Source organism: Homo sapiens, chromosome 1, assembly GCF_000001405.40.
Source record: "Homo sapiens chromosome 1, GRCh38.p14 Primary Assembly".
Lineage (NCBI taxonomy): Eukaryota > Metazoa > Chordata > Mammalia > Primates > Hominidae > Homo > Homo sapiens.
Genome location: NC_000001.11, coordinates 155,127,831 through 155,141,697, shown reverse-complemented (window position 1 = coordinate 155,141,697; position 13,867 = coordinate 155,127,831). Strand labels below are relative to the sequence as shown.

Here is a 13,867-nt window from a genome sequence, read left to right as displayed (position 1 = left end):
GGCAAGTTAATAAACCTAACTGTCAAACTACAGATGTGGTCTTTATAAGACAGGCTTATCAATTGTCTTTCCTTTCTTATATAACTCTTTGTTTCCTCTGAAGTTGATAATTGCCTAACCTTTTCTCTTACTTTGTTCTCTCTCTCTCTTTCTCTCTATACATAATAAATTCATCCCCAAAACTGTTCTAAAGAATTATACTCTTTCTTTCAATGCCTTCACCACTTCAGGTAATTCTTCTGGTCTTTCTTTTCTTTTCTTTTTTTTTGAAACCCAGACTCCTGGAGCCCTTCTTCCTCTGGCTCCAAGTTATATTGGTTGTTGTCCTTGTAAAAATATGACTACCTCTGTTCTAACAATAATCTCAAGCCTTCATGGTTAGTTGTCAATGCAACTGCTTCACTGACTCCTGCTTTCCCCCTCCACCTGAAAGGGGTCGAGTCTCTTGACATCTCTGTATCTCCAAAGTCTATCATGGTAATCAAGAAATGTTCTGGCCGGGCGCTGTGGCTCATGCCTGTAATCCTAGCACTTTGGAAGGCTGAGGTGGGCCAGTCACTTGAGGTCAGGAGTTTGAGACCAGCCTGGCCAACATAGTGAAATCCCCGTTCTCTGCTAAAAATAAAAAAATTAGCCCGGCGTGGTGGCGCGCGCCTGTAATCCCAGCTGCTCGGGAGACAGAGGTTGCAGTGAGCTGAGATCGAGCCACTGTACTCCAGCATGGGCAACAGAGCGAGACTTTGTCTCAAAAAAAAAAAAAAAAAAAAAAAAAAAAAAAAGGAGTTCTGTCCCGCCTAGGCACTATAGAGAGACCCTGTCAAGAATGGAAAGAAAGAAATCTTCGAATGAATGAACTAGTGAATGAAGGAATGGATTTCAGCGCTGGAGAATTGAGTTTAAGGGGAATGGTATTATATTCCCATCTTGTTGCAACATTTAAGGATGTCCTCAAGCCCCACGCCAGCCTGGAGCGTAGCCCAAGGTGGGAAAGCAGCGCCGAGGCCTCTCCAGACCCGGCCTGCTCCCCGTTTGCGGAGCACAGCCCACTGTACCCCCGCCTAGATTGAGGCGCTGGCCAGGAGTACACCAGGCGCCGCCATGTGAACTACAACTCCCAGAAGGCCGCGCGGAAGCGGAACGTGAACCAGGGAGGACTTCCGGACGCCAACATCCGGGCCGCGCGGGGAAGGGGAGACGTGGGGTAGAGGTAAGTGTAGGTTGAAGGCTGAATGGGGAGGGCGAGAGATGGGGAGTGGGTCTCAAATATAGAGGGGGTAGCAAGGTGGAAGGGGCCCTTCCACCTTTTGTGGGCACTCAAGTTCGGACCTCTGGGATCGGCGATTCCCCTCTGGCCAGGGCTGGTTTTAATGCTCTCCGTGGGCGGGCTTCGGTTGAGTTTGGTCCGCTTTTCCTTTCTGCTCCTCAGGGGAGCATTGCTTCCTTCTCTCGCAGTGACCATGACGAAATTAGCGCAGTGGCTTTGGGGACTAGCGATCCTGGGCTCCACCTGGGTGGCCCTGACCACGGGAGCCTTGGGCCTGGAGCTGCCCTTGTCCTGCCAGGAAGTCCTGTGGCCACTGCCCGCCTACTTGCTGGTGTCCGCCGGCTGCTATGCCCTGGGCACTGTGGGCTATCGTGTGGCCACTTTTCATGACTGCGAGGACGCCGCACGCGAGCTGCAGAGCCAGATACAGGAGGCCCGAGCCGACTTAGCCCGCAGGGGGCTGCGCTTCTGACAGCCTAACCCCATTCCTGTGCGGACAGCCCTTCCTCCCATTTCCCATTAAAGAGCCAGTTTATTTTCTAACTTCGTTTAGTTTGAGTATGGAAAACGGGTATTGGGGATTCTATGTACTAACGGTCGAGAAGTGAATGTGAAAGAACCACCTTCTTGAGGCCATCTCAGCCTTTATCTTTGCATCTTGCTGGTGTTCCCATTTTTGCTCCCAAGGAGGCAAAGACCCCTTCTCAATATTTCTCAGGATGGAAATGACATTTCACTTTCCTGGTCCTTTCAACCCTGTAGGAAGTACTTCTTTTTTTTTTTTTTTGAGACGGAGCCTTGCTCTGTCGTCCAGGCTGGAGTGCAGTGGCGTGATCTCGGCTCACTGCAAGCTCCGCCTCCCGGGTTCACGCCATTCTCCTGCCTCAGCCTCCTGAGTAGCTGGGACTACAGGCGCCTGCCACCACGCCTGGCTAATTTTTTGTATTTTTAGTAGAGTCGGGGTTTCACCGTGTTGGCCAGGATGGTCTGATCTCCTGACCTCGTAATCCGCCCGCCTCGGCCTCCCAAAGTGCTGGGATTACAGGTGTGAGTCACCGCGCCCGGCGTACTACTTCTTTTTTTTTTTTTTTTTGAGACAGGGTCTCACTCTGTTGCCCAGGCTGGAGTGCAGTGGTGCAATCATGGCTCACTGCAGCCTCACCCTCCCAGGCTCAAACAGTTCTCCCACCTCAGCCTCCAGAGTAGCTGGGACTACAGGCATATGCCACCACGCCACCAGGCTAATGTTTAATTTTTTGTAGTGACAGGGTCTCGCTGTGTTGCTCAGGCTGTTCTCAAACTCCTGGGCTCAAGTGATCCTCCTGCCTGGGCCTCCCAAAGTGCTGTGATTACAGACATAAGCCACCTTACCCGGCCAGAAGTACTTTCTTGAAGCCTAAGTTCCATTCTTCATAACATCCAAGTTTTGTTATTTTTAAGGCCTTCCTGGGTCTTTCCAACCTTTTGGTTCTTTGAGATACCTTTTCTGAGCCTACCCTACCAACCTGAGAATAACTGTGGATCTATCCTTCACCAAACCAGGCAGGTTTAGAATTATGAGTAGAGAATGAACCATCGTGGGCAGGGGTGGGGAACACTTTATTTTAAGGCATATTCATATCAGCATATAAGGCATATTCATATCACAATGGCACGATCTCAGCTCACTGCAACCTCCACCTCCTGGGTTCAAGCAATTCTCCTGCCTCAGCCTCCCAAGTATCTGGGATTACAGGCATGTGCCATCATGCCTGGCTAATTTTGTATTTTTAGTAGAGATGGGGTTTCACCATGTTAGTCAGGTTGGTCTTGAACTCCTGACCTCAGGCGATCCGCCCACCTTGGCCTCCCAAAGTGCTGGGATTACAGGCGTGAGCCACCGCGCCCGGCCTTTTAAGGCATATTCTAAAGATTGCACCCCAACCTCCAAAATTAAAAAAAAAAATCTCTAAAAAATAAAAAGTGATTTCATCTCCTAGGCCCCAATCAATCATCTAAGTAAAGCTTTTTCTTTGGTCCTTTTATCCTCAAAGTCATCTCTTGTTCCCACAACCCACTGCACCTGGGAAGCTGGACAGCAGGCCCAGCTGAAACAAGGAGGTCTCTTTGGTTCAGGTTGGCACTAAGGTGCCCAGTGGTCAGATGAGCAGCCTCAGGTTTGCAGGAGCCAGTAGTTCCTGTCTTGCTCCTGGGGGTACTTCCAGAAAAGCCAGAAGCGGATAAAGCTGGTGACGATTCCTGGAAAGTTGGACACCTGAAATCACAAGAACTGCTATGAGGAGAGGAGCCAGTTTTCCATCTTGCACCCCTGTCACCCCATCCCAGTTGTGCTTACCATGATATAGGGATCTCTGAGTCGAAACCCATAGAGGCACCAGGAGGCAGAGGTGAGAAGGGTAGCAATGGTGAGTGGGTAGGAGAGACATTGGGTTGATTTAGTTTGAATCACCTTAGCCTGTGGGAAAGAATGGAAGACTCTCTTGGCCCAAGCACATCGTAAAGCTTCACTTGCCTAAGAATTTCCTCAAGAAAAAGGTCAGACACCCTCCCTGATCTGTCACCCAACCTTTCCTGCCTCCCACTCGCCCACTTCTACTGCCTTGTCTTCTTCCAGGGTTTGGATCTCCCCTTCCTCGGGACTGTAAGCCATAGTATTTGGCTATGAGAGCCTGACTCTTATCTCTCCTACCTCCTTGGACACCCCCACTCACCAAGTCAGCCAGTGGTGAGAGGTACATGCTGATGGTGAAGACACTGCAGAAGAGGCCCAACTGCTGAAGCCGGGCCTCAGGGTTGGGTACCAGGAGCCAAAAGTAGCCATAACCCAGGAGAAGGACCCCTAGCAGGGTTGCAGTCTGTAGGAGCACAACACGCTGCAGGGGAGAGAGTACCCTTACTTCCAGATGTGCACTCTGACTTCCCTGCTAGAGTTAATTCATCCTGCCTTCTCCAGTGCTCCAATGGGGAAGCCAAGCTGTCTAGGCCTCCAGCACTGCACTGTCACAGCTTCTTTCCCACCACCAACTTGATAGGAAAGTCTTATCCACCCACAACACTGGAGACTTCTGGGGGAGATAAATATGTGTTTTTTTCTGTGTGCTTGGCACACACAGTAGGAGCTTCATAAATGCTTGTGTGATTTAGCAGGGACGCAGAGCTAATCATCTCATTCTCACCCACAGGCCCTGGCTCTGAAAGAAATATCAGAGACAAAAGCCCTTTCCCCTTAGCTTGTTGGCTGAAGCCCAGGGCAGGCAGCATAGGCATCTCAGGCTAGGCAGAGCTACCAGCCTTGCCTAAATGGGGGCAATGTGTTCATCTCAGAAGGCTGGCTTCATAGAGGAAGGGGACCTGCAAGGCTGGAGAGGCCTTCCTGGAAAAGGTGGCAGTGCCAGCTGTTACAGTCTTCTAGGAAATAGTGTTTGCCCTGCCAGCAAGGCAGGGCGTGCAGCAGATAGGTGGGTCCAAGGGAGGGCCTCTACCTTCCGAGGGCAGTAATGCAGATATGCCAAGATATACAGGGTCTGAAGCGCAGCACCCACTGTGTTGACGACGATGAGGATCCCGTCTCCCTTCAAAGCCCCATAACTCAGCCAGCCCAGGTTGCTGCAGGGTGGAGGGGATGGACATGGCTCAAAGGGTTCAGTGTGAGAGGAGGACCCAAAGGGTCTTTCACTCTTTTTTTTTTTTTGAGACGTAGTCTCGCTCTGTCGCCCAGGCTGGAGTGCGGTGGCACGATCTCGGCTCACTGCAAGCTCCGCCTCCTGGGTTCACGCCATTCTCCTGCCTCAGCCTCCCGAGTAGCTGGGACTACAGGCGCCCGGCACCACGCCCGGCTAATTTTTTGTATTTTTAGTAGAGACGGGGTTTCACCGTGTTAGCCAGGATGGTCTGGATCTCCTGACCTCGTGATCCGCCCGTCTCGGCCTCCCAAAGTGCAGGGATTACAGGCGTGAGCCACCGCGCCCGGCCAAACCTCTTTCACTCTTGCTCCTCCTGCCCCGCCCCCACCTCCCTCTGGTAGCCTTTCCCACTACCGCAGCCGTCGGCCCCTCACTTGACTTCCGTGGTGAGAAAGGGCAGGAACTGGACGTTGTCCACACTCCGGGTCATTCGCATGTGCCTGAGGTCCGAGCTGTAATGGGGCCCCGAAGGGAGGGGTGGGGGTGGGAAGGGAGAAGCAGAGTGCTAGAGGGGGATGCCCAATGCCTGTCATCCTTTCCGGACCACCGCAGACCCCGCCCCCTCTCCCCCCCGCCAGCTATCCTGCCTTCTCCTTCAGGCCTAGTGACCAGCCTCGCCCTTGTACCCCGGTCCCCTCGACCCGATCCCACTTTGATCCCGGTTCCGGACGAGCCAGGTGCTGTGGCCACGTCTCTGTCCCCTCTCTCTCCTTTCCTGACTGCCTAGTCCTCCCCAACCCAGCCCGGCCGCACTCTCACAGGCCGGCGGAGAACATGCCAAGGGTGAAGACCACGCATGCTCCGTAAATGAGCGAGTCCAGAAAGCCGCCCGCCTCCATTACGACTAGAGTCGGATCCCGCGCCCAGCGCCCGCCGCGAGCCTGCGGTTGCCGGGACCTACTGCAGCCCAGACCTGCGGCTCTGGAGCCCCGCCCCGCGCACTCGGCTCCGCCCCCGCACGCTCGGGCCGTCCCTCCGGAAACTGCGCCGAAGCCCCACCCTCCCTCCGACGCCGAACCGGAACTCGCGCCCCTCTCCTCCGAGCGCCTTCCCAGTACCCTGGTCCAGACCTCTTCCATGTCCCGGTCAGTCCCCTTCCTAGGGCTCCGCGGGTGTGTCCCCGATACCTGCCGCTGCTCACACTCTGCCTACCCCTTGGATCATCTAGACGCCCCCAGTCTCAACGCTCGTGTTCCCACAGGCCTGTGCGCCTTCGGCGGTGGACCTCCAAACAAAAGCTTGCTAGTTTAACAAGACTTCAGCACGCTTTCCATCCAGAGCTCCACATCAGAACCTCAGTTGCCCAGGGTTTGGGAAGTTTTTTTCTGGAGTGTGCTGCCGAAGCTTTTTCTCAAAATAACACATTACCAGGAATCACCAAGCCTTCCTCTTTTGCCCTCCCTCTCGGGTCAACTTTACATGACGTGGCCAATCCACTGACGCCTCTATCACTGACCCCCGGTCCAACCCACTTGTTACTGGGAACTTTCCCTCCCAGCCTCCCACACGTCTCTGCTAGTGTGGCTGTGGGGCGGGGCCGCATGCCTCAGCTGGCGTTCCCAGCTTCCCTGACTCACCGAAACAGCGTGAGTACCTGAATGGTAGTATGCCAAAGCCCTGCGGTGACGGAGTGGGAGTGGGGTAGAGGTCGGATAGGAAGAACTTCCAGAGTGGAGTGCAGCTCAGAACCCGAGAGACAGCTGTCAGGAGCACTCCGGTCCTGGACAGCCCTCAGAGGAGGAAACATCCCACCCTTTTGGCCTCGTGAGGGGCACACATTCTTTGGAGAGAAAGAAATTCAAACCCAGTTGCTACTGTTGTAGCACAGAGAGCCTCGCACTTAGCAGGGACTCAATGGTCATATGTTTTAATATGGAGTGGCAGAAAAGCATGTCCGAAAAAACACATTGCTTTATTTTGAGACAAAGAACATTGTATAAAAAAACTCCAGTTGTAGAAATCAGGACAGACACACAGCAACTTATATACAGATACTATACACGTGGGCCCTGCCCTTTAGGCTACACTCTAGGCAGAATGTACACATGGGCACTGCCCTTACAGCTACACTCTAAGAACAGGTTGGCACAGCCCCCCTGCTGGCACAGCTCTGGGGAGTGCTGCCCCAGGATGGGAGAGAATGCAGTACCTGGCTACAAACTTCTCTGTGGCAGCTCCACAGATGAGGTCTTGCTGGGAGATGCTGGGTCAGCCCAAGCATGCTGCCTCTCCTGTACCTGGCTTCCAAGCAAGAAACTGTTTCTTGCTTTTCCTTCAGTCAGTTCATCTGGGCATCCTGGCTCTCTCCTGGAGGGGGCATCTTTGACAAGCTTTGCCCATCCACGTGGCCCCTTCCAGCTCAGCTCCCACTGTGCCTTAAGGGACCATGCCTGCACAGCTTGTTTCTTTGGCTTAAAGGCAGGAATGGTGGGAAAGGACTGTCTCCACTTCTTTCTCCATCCCTCCGAGGTGAAGGTGGGGATGGCACTGTCGGGCTGGTTGGCCTCCTTCCGGTTGAAAACCTTAATACTGACCCGTTTTGAGGCTGCTAGGTGATAGCTTATGCCTGTGGTGGGAGTGGTTCCCAGGGCTGGGGGCTCTGAAAGTGGCCCCAAGACAGGTTTGGAGTGCCTGTCCCTCTCTTCAGCCTGTCCCTCTTTAAGGCCAGGTGTGGCATACACCTTCACGGGGTTTGCAGCAGCAGAAGTGGAAGGAGCAGCACAGTCCAGGCAAGTGGGAAGAGGCGTGGGGCAGCACTGTGACCGATGCTATGTAGAACCCGCACCTCTGGGTCATCTGCAAGGTGAGAGGGCAAAGGCCACCAGTGTGAGTGGCTCCACTATTTGTACTGGCTCTCAGCCCAACAGGATTCCCTCAGCCTCAGCCTGGTAAAGGAGCCACCTCCTGTACCCAACCTCTTCAAGCAGACCCCTTCCTGTGCCCCAGGCCCAGTTTGCTCCAGCTACCCACCTGCTGCAAGTCTCTTCTCCTGTGGATTGTCATGGGCCTGAGGACTGTGAGCTGAAAGACAAGAGTGGTAGTAGATCAGGTACTGTATCAAAGAGGCAGAGGGCTGTAAGTATGAGTGGGCTGGGCTGCAAGACTTCTATACCATCCTAGATCACTAGACCGCACCCAGCATAGAGATGGAGGAAGGAGGCCCACAGGGCTCTGACACTCACTGATTTTGCCACTGACAGTCACCTTCAACCTCAAGCAGCGGTCTTCATGCTGGTGGATGGGTTTGGCTGCAAGATAAGCCCACAGGGGTTAAATAAGAAACCTTTGCTGGAAGAAAATGTAAGTCCAAATGCCCCTCGCCCTGCTTTCTCAGCTCCCTACTCAATTTCATTCTTCTCTTCCCTCTAACCTTGATTCCTACCCTCCTTAGTTTTTGCTAACTTCCTGCCCAATGTTCAGCCCAGCCTCTCATTCTTTGGAAATAACCCTCAGCATAGACACTGCCCCTCCCCACATTTCATCCTTCATTCCTCCGAGTCTGAATATGTTCCTCTTGCCTGGGCCACTTAATACTACTCCTAGGCCAGGCGCGGTGGCTCACACATGTAATCCCAGCACTTTGAGAGGCCGAGGTGGGCGGATCACGAGGTCAGGAGTTCGAGACCAGCCTGGCCAATATGGTGAAACCCCGTCTCTACTAAAAATACAAAAATTAGCCGGGCATGGTGGCACATGCCTGTAGTCCCAGCTACTCGGGAGGCTGAGGCAGAAGAATCAATTGAACCCGGGAGGTGGAGGTTGCAGCAAGTCGAGATCGTGCCACTGCACTCCAGTCTGGGCGACAGAGCGAGACTCTGTCTCAGAAAAAAAACAAAAAAACAAAAACTACTCCTGCCTAGCCCCCACCGACAGAGTCCTAGATCCATCTTATACAAAGCTGATCTCATAACTTTCTTTTTGAAACGGAGTCTCCCTCTGTCACCCAGGCTGGAGTACAATGGTGTGATCTCGGCTCACTGTAACCTCACACCTCCTGGGTTCAAGCGATCCTCCTGCCTCAGCCTATTGAGTAGCTGGGACTACAGAAGTGCGCCACCACACTCGGCTAATTTTTGTATTTTTTTAGTAGAGTTGGGGTTTCACCATGTTGGCCAGGCTGGTCTTGAACTCCTGACCCTAGGTGATCCACCCACCTCGGCCTCCCAAAGTGCTGGATGATCTCATAACTTTTAAAATCCATCAGGCCATGCGCGGTGGTTCATGCCTATAATCCCAGCACTTTGGGAGGCTGAGGCGGGCAGATCACTTGAGGTCAGGAGTTCGAGACCAGTCTGACCAACATGGTGAAACCCCATCTCTACTAAAAATACAAAATTAGCTGGGCGTGGTGGCAGGTGCCTGTAATCCCAGCTATTTGGGAGGTTGAGGCAGGAGAATTGCTTGAATCCGAGAGGTAGAGGTTGCAGTGAGCAGAGATCACACCACTGCACTCCAGCCTGGGCGACAAGAGTGAAACTCCATCTCAAGAGTAATAATAATAATAAAATAAAATAAAATAAAACCCATCAGTGGCGAGAGCCCTCAGGATAAAGTCCAAACTCCTTATCACCTTTTAGTTCCCCCATGGTCTGTTCTGTCCACCTCTCCAGGCTCACATCTCCTCACTTCCTGTGTCCCTCCAACTCCAGCCAGGCTGAGCCACAGGAAGTTCCCTGAAGATGTCATGCTCCCTTTGTACGTGTGCCTTCATGCCTGGCCAGCTCCTCTGCTTGTCCTGAGCTCTGGGACCATCTTCCCCACTGAGCCTTCTCTGAGCCCCATAGCCTGGCAGGTGCCCAGGTCATTTTCCCAAGGCCCCTGTGTTCATGTCTACTGTAGCACACTGTTCTAAGGGTCTCTTAACCTATGTGTGTTTCTTCCCAGCTTCCTTGAGGACAGGGGCTCTGTAGTGTTTTATTTATCTTTGTGCTCATAGCGCTAAACAGAGTGCCCAGCACATAGTAGAAGCTCACTCACATTGGGATGTAGATGAATGAAAATAGAATTCAAGATCGGAAGGGGCCCTCTGCTGCTGGACTCTACACCAAGCATGTACCCAAGCATGTATGTAATGGCAAAAAAGAAACACAGACACTGTCCCCTCACAGGCACTCACAGATGTAGTAGTAGCTGTGTCCTTCTTTGAACTCCTTGCCCAGGGTGAAAGGTGTGAAGCGCTGGAACTTCTCAGACAGCTTCTCCGGGCCATGCTTGGCACTGGGCCGGTTGCACTGCCAGCGGACTTGGTCCTTGGACTGGGGCTGGCACAGCTGGTACTCCTCATGCTCCACCAGGTACAGTATGTACTGCTCCATGGCAGCGTCTGCCACAGAGTGATCTTCATAGTGCGGACAGATGATGTCCACGTAGTCATTCAGCTGCACATGTATGGTGTAGTCCTCATTCCGGAACCTGGGGACACACACAGGGGGAAGAAGCAGGTGGTCATTCAGAAGCCAGGCCAGATCCTTGGGCCTCTGAATGTTTACATGACCTCTCACATTTCACACTGGACCCCAAGAGATTTTTCCGAAGTTTCAACTCCCAATATGTACTGATCTTGATGTCTTACATTTCTCTCTGCCATCTCTAAACATTCCCCTGCACCATCACTGTCTCCTGTTGGTCCTTCAAATAGCATTCACTCAGTATCTTTCGGGTACCAAAGCATTTTCCATAACCCCCCTGATACTTACCTGATATTTAGATGGGCTTCTACCTATTTCTGTAGCTCACTTATCATTCTCTTCTACCCATAAATATTTCCCCAAATCTGTTCTACCAGTTGCTCCTTTTAAATGCTGTTAGGCCTCAATCTGAGACCCCCACAGGTCCATTCTGTAATCAGAATCCAGGAAACCCTTTCTCTTTACCATGCTAGCCTGGAGCCTCCAACACATCTGTGTCTTCACTTTCCTTACTCCTCTCACATTTCCCCGGACCCACTGAGTAGATCTCACATTTCCCAGCTTCACTTTTCCTCAAAAGTGAAGCTAGTATACCCGGGCCCACAGATAATGCCCCAGTCCTTTAAGTTAAATCACTCTCATCAATTCATTCAGCCCCCTCAAATCTTCCCGTTCTAGCTACTCAAAGTTATACACTGGTCTCCTTTTCCCCTTCTCAGAGCACCCCAAAACAACCCTGTCCTTTTATCTCTAAAAGCCACACTTCCACCTCCCCCTAGATGAAATGCTGGAGCTCTGAGCTTGAGCTTGAGACAGCCTCTCCCCTCTCCCCTCTCTCCCCTCTCTCCTCCTCTCCCCCTCTCCCCTCCTCTCCCCTCCTCCCAAGGTGGAGCCAGCACCCCTCCCCTAGTTCATTCCCCCTGGCCCCACCGGCTCCAGCCTGACTGCCCACCAGCCCCTCCCCACCAGCTCCAGACACCTGGCTCCAGCCTGGGTGGGGTCCCAGTAGGGGGAAAAGTGCTTCCCCCGACCCCGCAAGCTGGTCAGTTTCTCTAATTCCCCCAGGCACTGCCAGCTAGAGACCCAGCAGAATTAGCGCTAAGTTGCTTCGAACTGAAAGCCCTGGCCACGGCTGGGAGGGCGAGGAAGGAGTCAGGCAGAGAGGACTCGGAGGTGGGCACCCACTGCCCAATCAGCATGACCCCTGAGAGGCCAGGCTTTGCAGCAGCGTGCCAGCGCCCAAACTGGGCTTACCAGGCCCCTCCCCCACCCTGGGGAAAAGAGAGGAGCAGAGAGAGGCTTTTAAAATTCCTCTCTGGAGAGATAAACATAGAAGCCATTTCAGAACAGGTATTTCAGCTCTGGGCCTGGCGTCTTTCCCTCATTCCCGTGACGGGCACTGACTCATTCCTCATCCACCTCTGCTACCCGCCCCAGCACTCATGAGAACTTGTGAAAACTTACCTTGTCAAATGTGCACAGCCCCCAGGACCCCAGGAGGGCACAGCGCCCACTCACCCCCAACAGTGTCCTCCAAACAAAGGGAGCTGGCAGGTCAGAATGAGGGGCCTGCCCTCCAGCATGAGGGAGGCTGGCGCCCTTCTCAGCATGCTGCCCCCGCCTGAGGCCTGGAGATCCCAGGGCTGCTGCCCACTGGCCTGAGTCACCCATGCCAGCCTCACCTACCCCGTTCATTGTAGCCTCATATTTGCCCCCACGCTGGGCCCAGCTTGGCTGCCTACGGACTCTACTCTGGACTGGCGTCTCTTTAGTCCTGGGTATGATAGGGTGTGCGTGTGTGTGTGTGTGTGTGTGTGTGTGTGTGTGTGGCCAGAGGGTCACCCATCAGCCCCCTCTCCTGGGGGTACAGTCTGCTGTACTTAGCCTTCATTTGACTCTTGCTCCCCATCTGGGAAAGGGGGGCAGCGGCGTCAGGGAAGGCGGGGAGGTGGGTAAGGAAGAGGCTCCTTCCTGAAAGAGAGGAAACCTGGGAGCTTGGGAACGGAAAAGGCCAGGGTCCCCCCCTCCCTACTCATGGCTTCCTGTCCCCTCCTCCTCCTCCAGTCAACACCTGGCATGGGCATAAACAGGGACTTTGCTCTCTCCCATACTAGGGCGAGATGCATCAGGTCAAGGAGGCAAAGCACAGGGAGCGGGTGGCGGAGGGCTGGCTGAGCCTCCCCAGCGTCCATGGGCAGGAGGGCATTGCCCTCTGGGGTTGGCAGCTGGCTGTTCTCTCCCCCACCCTAACAAGCCACAGACAACAGACTGCCTCACCAGACGATGACACGGGGTCAGAGGAAGCTGGCACAACATATTTCTCAAGGGGAGTGGGGGGCAAGCTTGCTAGGGCCGAGAGTGGCTAAGCCGGTGAGATGGCTTTCGTGATACCAAGCTGCCCACTTCTCTCCCTGCTCCTCCCTACCACCCTCTCCTGTATTCCCTCAAATATTGTTCCCATAACTTCAGAAAACTCAAGGGCAAGAACAAAGGGGCCGACAGAGTCTTCCTCCCAGTACCATTTGCCTCACAGCCCTAAACCTGCCCAGGAGAAATTAACTCCTTCCTGCCCAGAACCTTCTGTAACCCCTTTAACCTCTTCTGTTCATTCTGAAGCTTTCCCATGATCTCCCTCTCCCAGCTCTTCGCTTTTACTACTTGAGAGCCCCATAAACAGGTGATTCCCTCAGCCTACCCATGCACAGCATGTGCCTCACTCATGCCACCCCAAAAGACCCCTAGTGAGGGACTTTCCAGGTTTGCTTTAAATACAGGGTGAATGCATAATGAATGCCTACAGCCCAGCTCTCTCCTGAGAGGTCCTTCCAGGGTTACCTTGAGCATTCTGTGCACTCTTGATGTCACACCAGGTATCTGTCAGTGTGGTCAGATACCCAAAGGACACACAAGGAGAGGCGTGGAGGCTTTCACAGTGGGGGGGTGGGGGGCCTGGAACAAGGGCCCTGGCTGCCAGGGGCGAAGTCTATGCTGAAGGCAGGAACTGCCCAGCATGAGTCCCTCACTTTAGAGTAATAGGGGTGCCAGAGAGAAGGAAGGGAAGGGCAGATATAAGCCCATGCAAGTAGACACAAGCATGCCCCGGGGTGGGGTGCTCCCAGATATGACGGAGAAGTGAGGGGAGGAAAATCTACAGCCGCCCTCCTACCTCGGTCATCTACTCTAGGCTCAGCTCAGGGTTTGGCCGGGACAGTTATCCCGGTGGGGTAGTGCCAGCCGGGAGCCCAGGCTGCCAGCGGGAGTCTCGAGGCTTACTTGGGATTTGAACTGTTCCAGAAGACGGTGTGGCGATCAGCAGCGGCCAGACTGCAGCACAGACCCAAGAGAGGGGCCCAGAGGAACTCCATAGCGCGGGGCCTGGCCAGGCCGAGCGGGGACGCGGGTCTCCTATGGGTCTGGGTTCCCACTGGCTTTCTCCGCGGCGCAGTCAGCGCTGGGCTCACAGATCTGGCCCCTTCGCCTAGCGACTCCGCCTTTTGGGCCGGCGCCGCCCG

At 53.8% G+C, this 13,867-nt stretch overlaps 3 protein-coding genes across 22 annotated transcripts, besides 4 other annotated features; 1 reads left to right on the top strand and 2 right to left on the bottom strand.

The window, feature by feature from the left end:
• Positions 868-927: an enhancer, noted in NCBI's record as "active region_1808". NCBI's record gives its function as "activates an Ori minimal core promoter by ATAC-STARR-seq in GM12878 lymphoblastoid cells {active_cell/tissue: GM12878}" and the evidence as "EXISTENCE:reporter gene assay evidence [ECO:0000049][PMID:35858748]".
• Positions 1,098-1,227: an enhancer, noted in NCBI's record as "active region_1807". NCBI's record gives its function as "activates an Ori minimal core promoter by ATAC-STARR-seq in GM12878 lymphoblastoid cells {active_cell/tissue: GM12878}" and the evidence as "EXISTENCE:reporter gene assay evidence [ECO:0000049][PMID:35858748]".
• Positions 1,167-1,807, top strand: DPM3 (dolichyl-phosphate mannosyltransferase subunit 3, regulatory). 3 transcript variants are annotated; one of them, NM_153741.2, is made up of 2 exons: positions 1,167-1,207; positions 1,453-1,807. In NM_153741.2, exon 2 carries the CDS (start codon positions 1,458-1,460, stop codon positions 1,734-1,736), a length of 279 nt encoding a protein of 92 aa, NP_714963.1. In that variant the 5' UTR covers positions 1,167-1,207; positions 1,453-1,457; the 3' UTR covers positions 1,737-1,807. The 3 variants fall into 3 exon arrangements, with proteins under 3 accessions (NP_714963.1, XP_016856987.1, NP_061846.2); XM_017001498.2 differs by having other exon boundaries at positions 1,427-1,807; NM_018973.4 differs by lacking the exon at positions 1,167-1,207 and having other exon boundaries at positions 1,291-1,807.
• Positions 2,845-6,323, bottom strand: SLC50A1 (solute carrier family 50 member 1). Of its 17 annotated transcripts, none has more exons than XM_047425443.1 (6): positions 6,018-6,323; positions 5,302-5,399; positions 4,747-4,870; positions 3,976-4,137; positions 3,600-3,719; positions 2,845-3,518 (listed from the first exon to the last, which is right to left on the bottom strand). In XM_047425443.1, exons 1-6 carry the CDS (start codon positions 6,024-6,026, stop codon positions 3,417-3,419), a joined length of 615 nt encoding a protein of 204 aa, XP_047281399.1. In that variant the 5' UTR covers positions 6,027-6,323; the 3' UTR covers positions 2,845-3,416. The 17 variants fall into 17 exon arrangements, with proteins under 17 accessions (XP_047281399.1, XP_047281398.1, XP_005245399.1 ...); XM_047425442.1 differs by having other exon boundaries at positions 6,100-6,323; XM_005245342.4 differs by having other exon boundaries at positions 5,322-5,399; positions 6,100-6,323.
• Positions 5,806-6,045: a silencer, noted in NCBI's record as "silent region_1394". NCBI's record gives its function as "represses an Ori minimal core promoter by ATAC-STARR-seq in GM12878 lymphoblastoid cells {active_cell/tissue: GM12878}" and the evidence as "EXISTENCE:reporter gene assay evidence [ECO:0000049][PMID:35858748]".
• Positions 6,316-6,405: an enhancer, noted in NCBI's record as "active region_1806". NCBI's record gives its function as "activates an Ori minimal core promoter by ATAC-STARR-seq in GM12878 lymphoblastoid cells {active_cell/tissue: GM12878}" and the evidence as "EXISTENCE:reporter gene assay evidence [ECO:0000049][PMID:35858748]".
• EFNA1 (ephrin A1) lies at positions 6,799-13,822 on the bottom strand. Of its 2 annotated transcripts, NM_004428.3 has the most exons (5): positions 13,629-13,822; positions 10,064-10,359; positions 8,130-8,195; positions 7,918-7,968; positions 6,799-7,743 (listed from the first exon to the last, which is right to left on the bottom strand). In NM_004428.3, the coding sequence occupies exons 1-5, from the start codon at positions 13,718-13,720 to the stop codon at positions 7,631-7,633; spliced, it is 618 nt and encodes a 205-aa protein (NP_004419.2). In that variant the 5' UTR covers positions 13,721-13,822; the 3' UTR covers positions 6,799-7,630. The 2 variants fall into 2 exon arrangements, with proteins under 2 accessions (NP_004419.2, NP_872626.1); NM_182685.2 differs by lacking the exon at positions 8,130-8,195.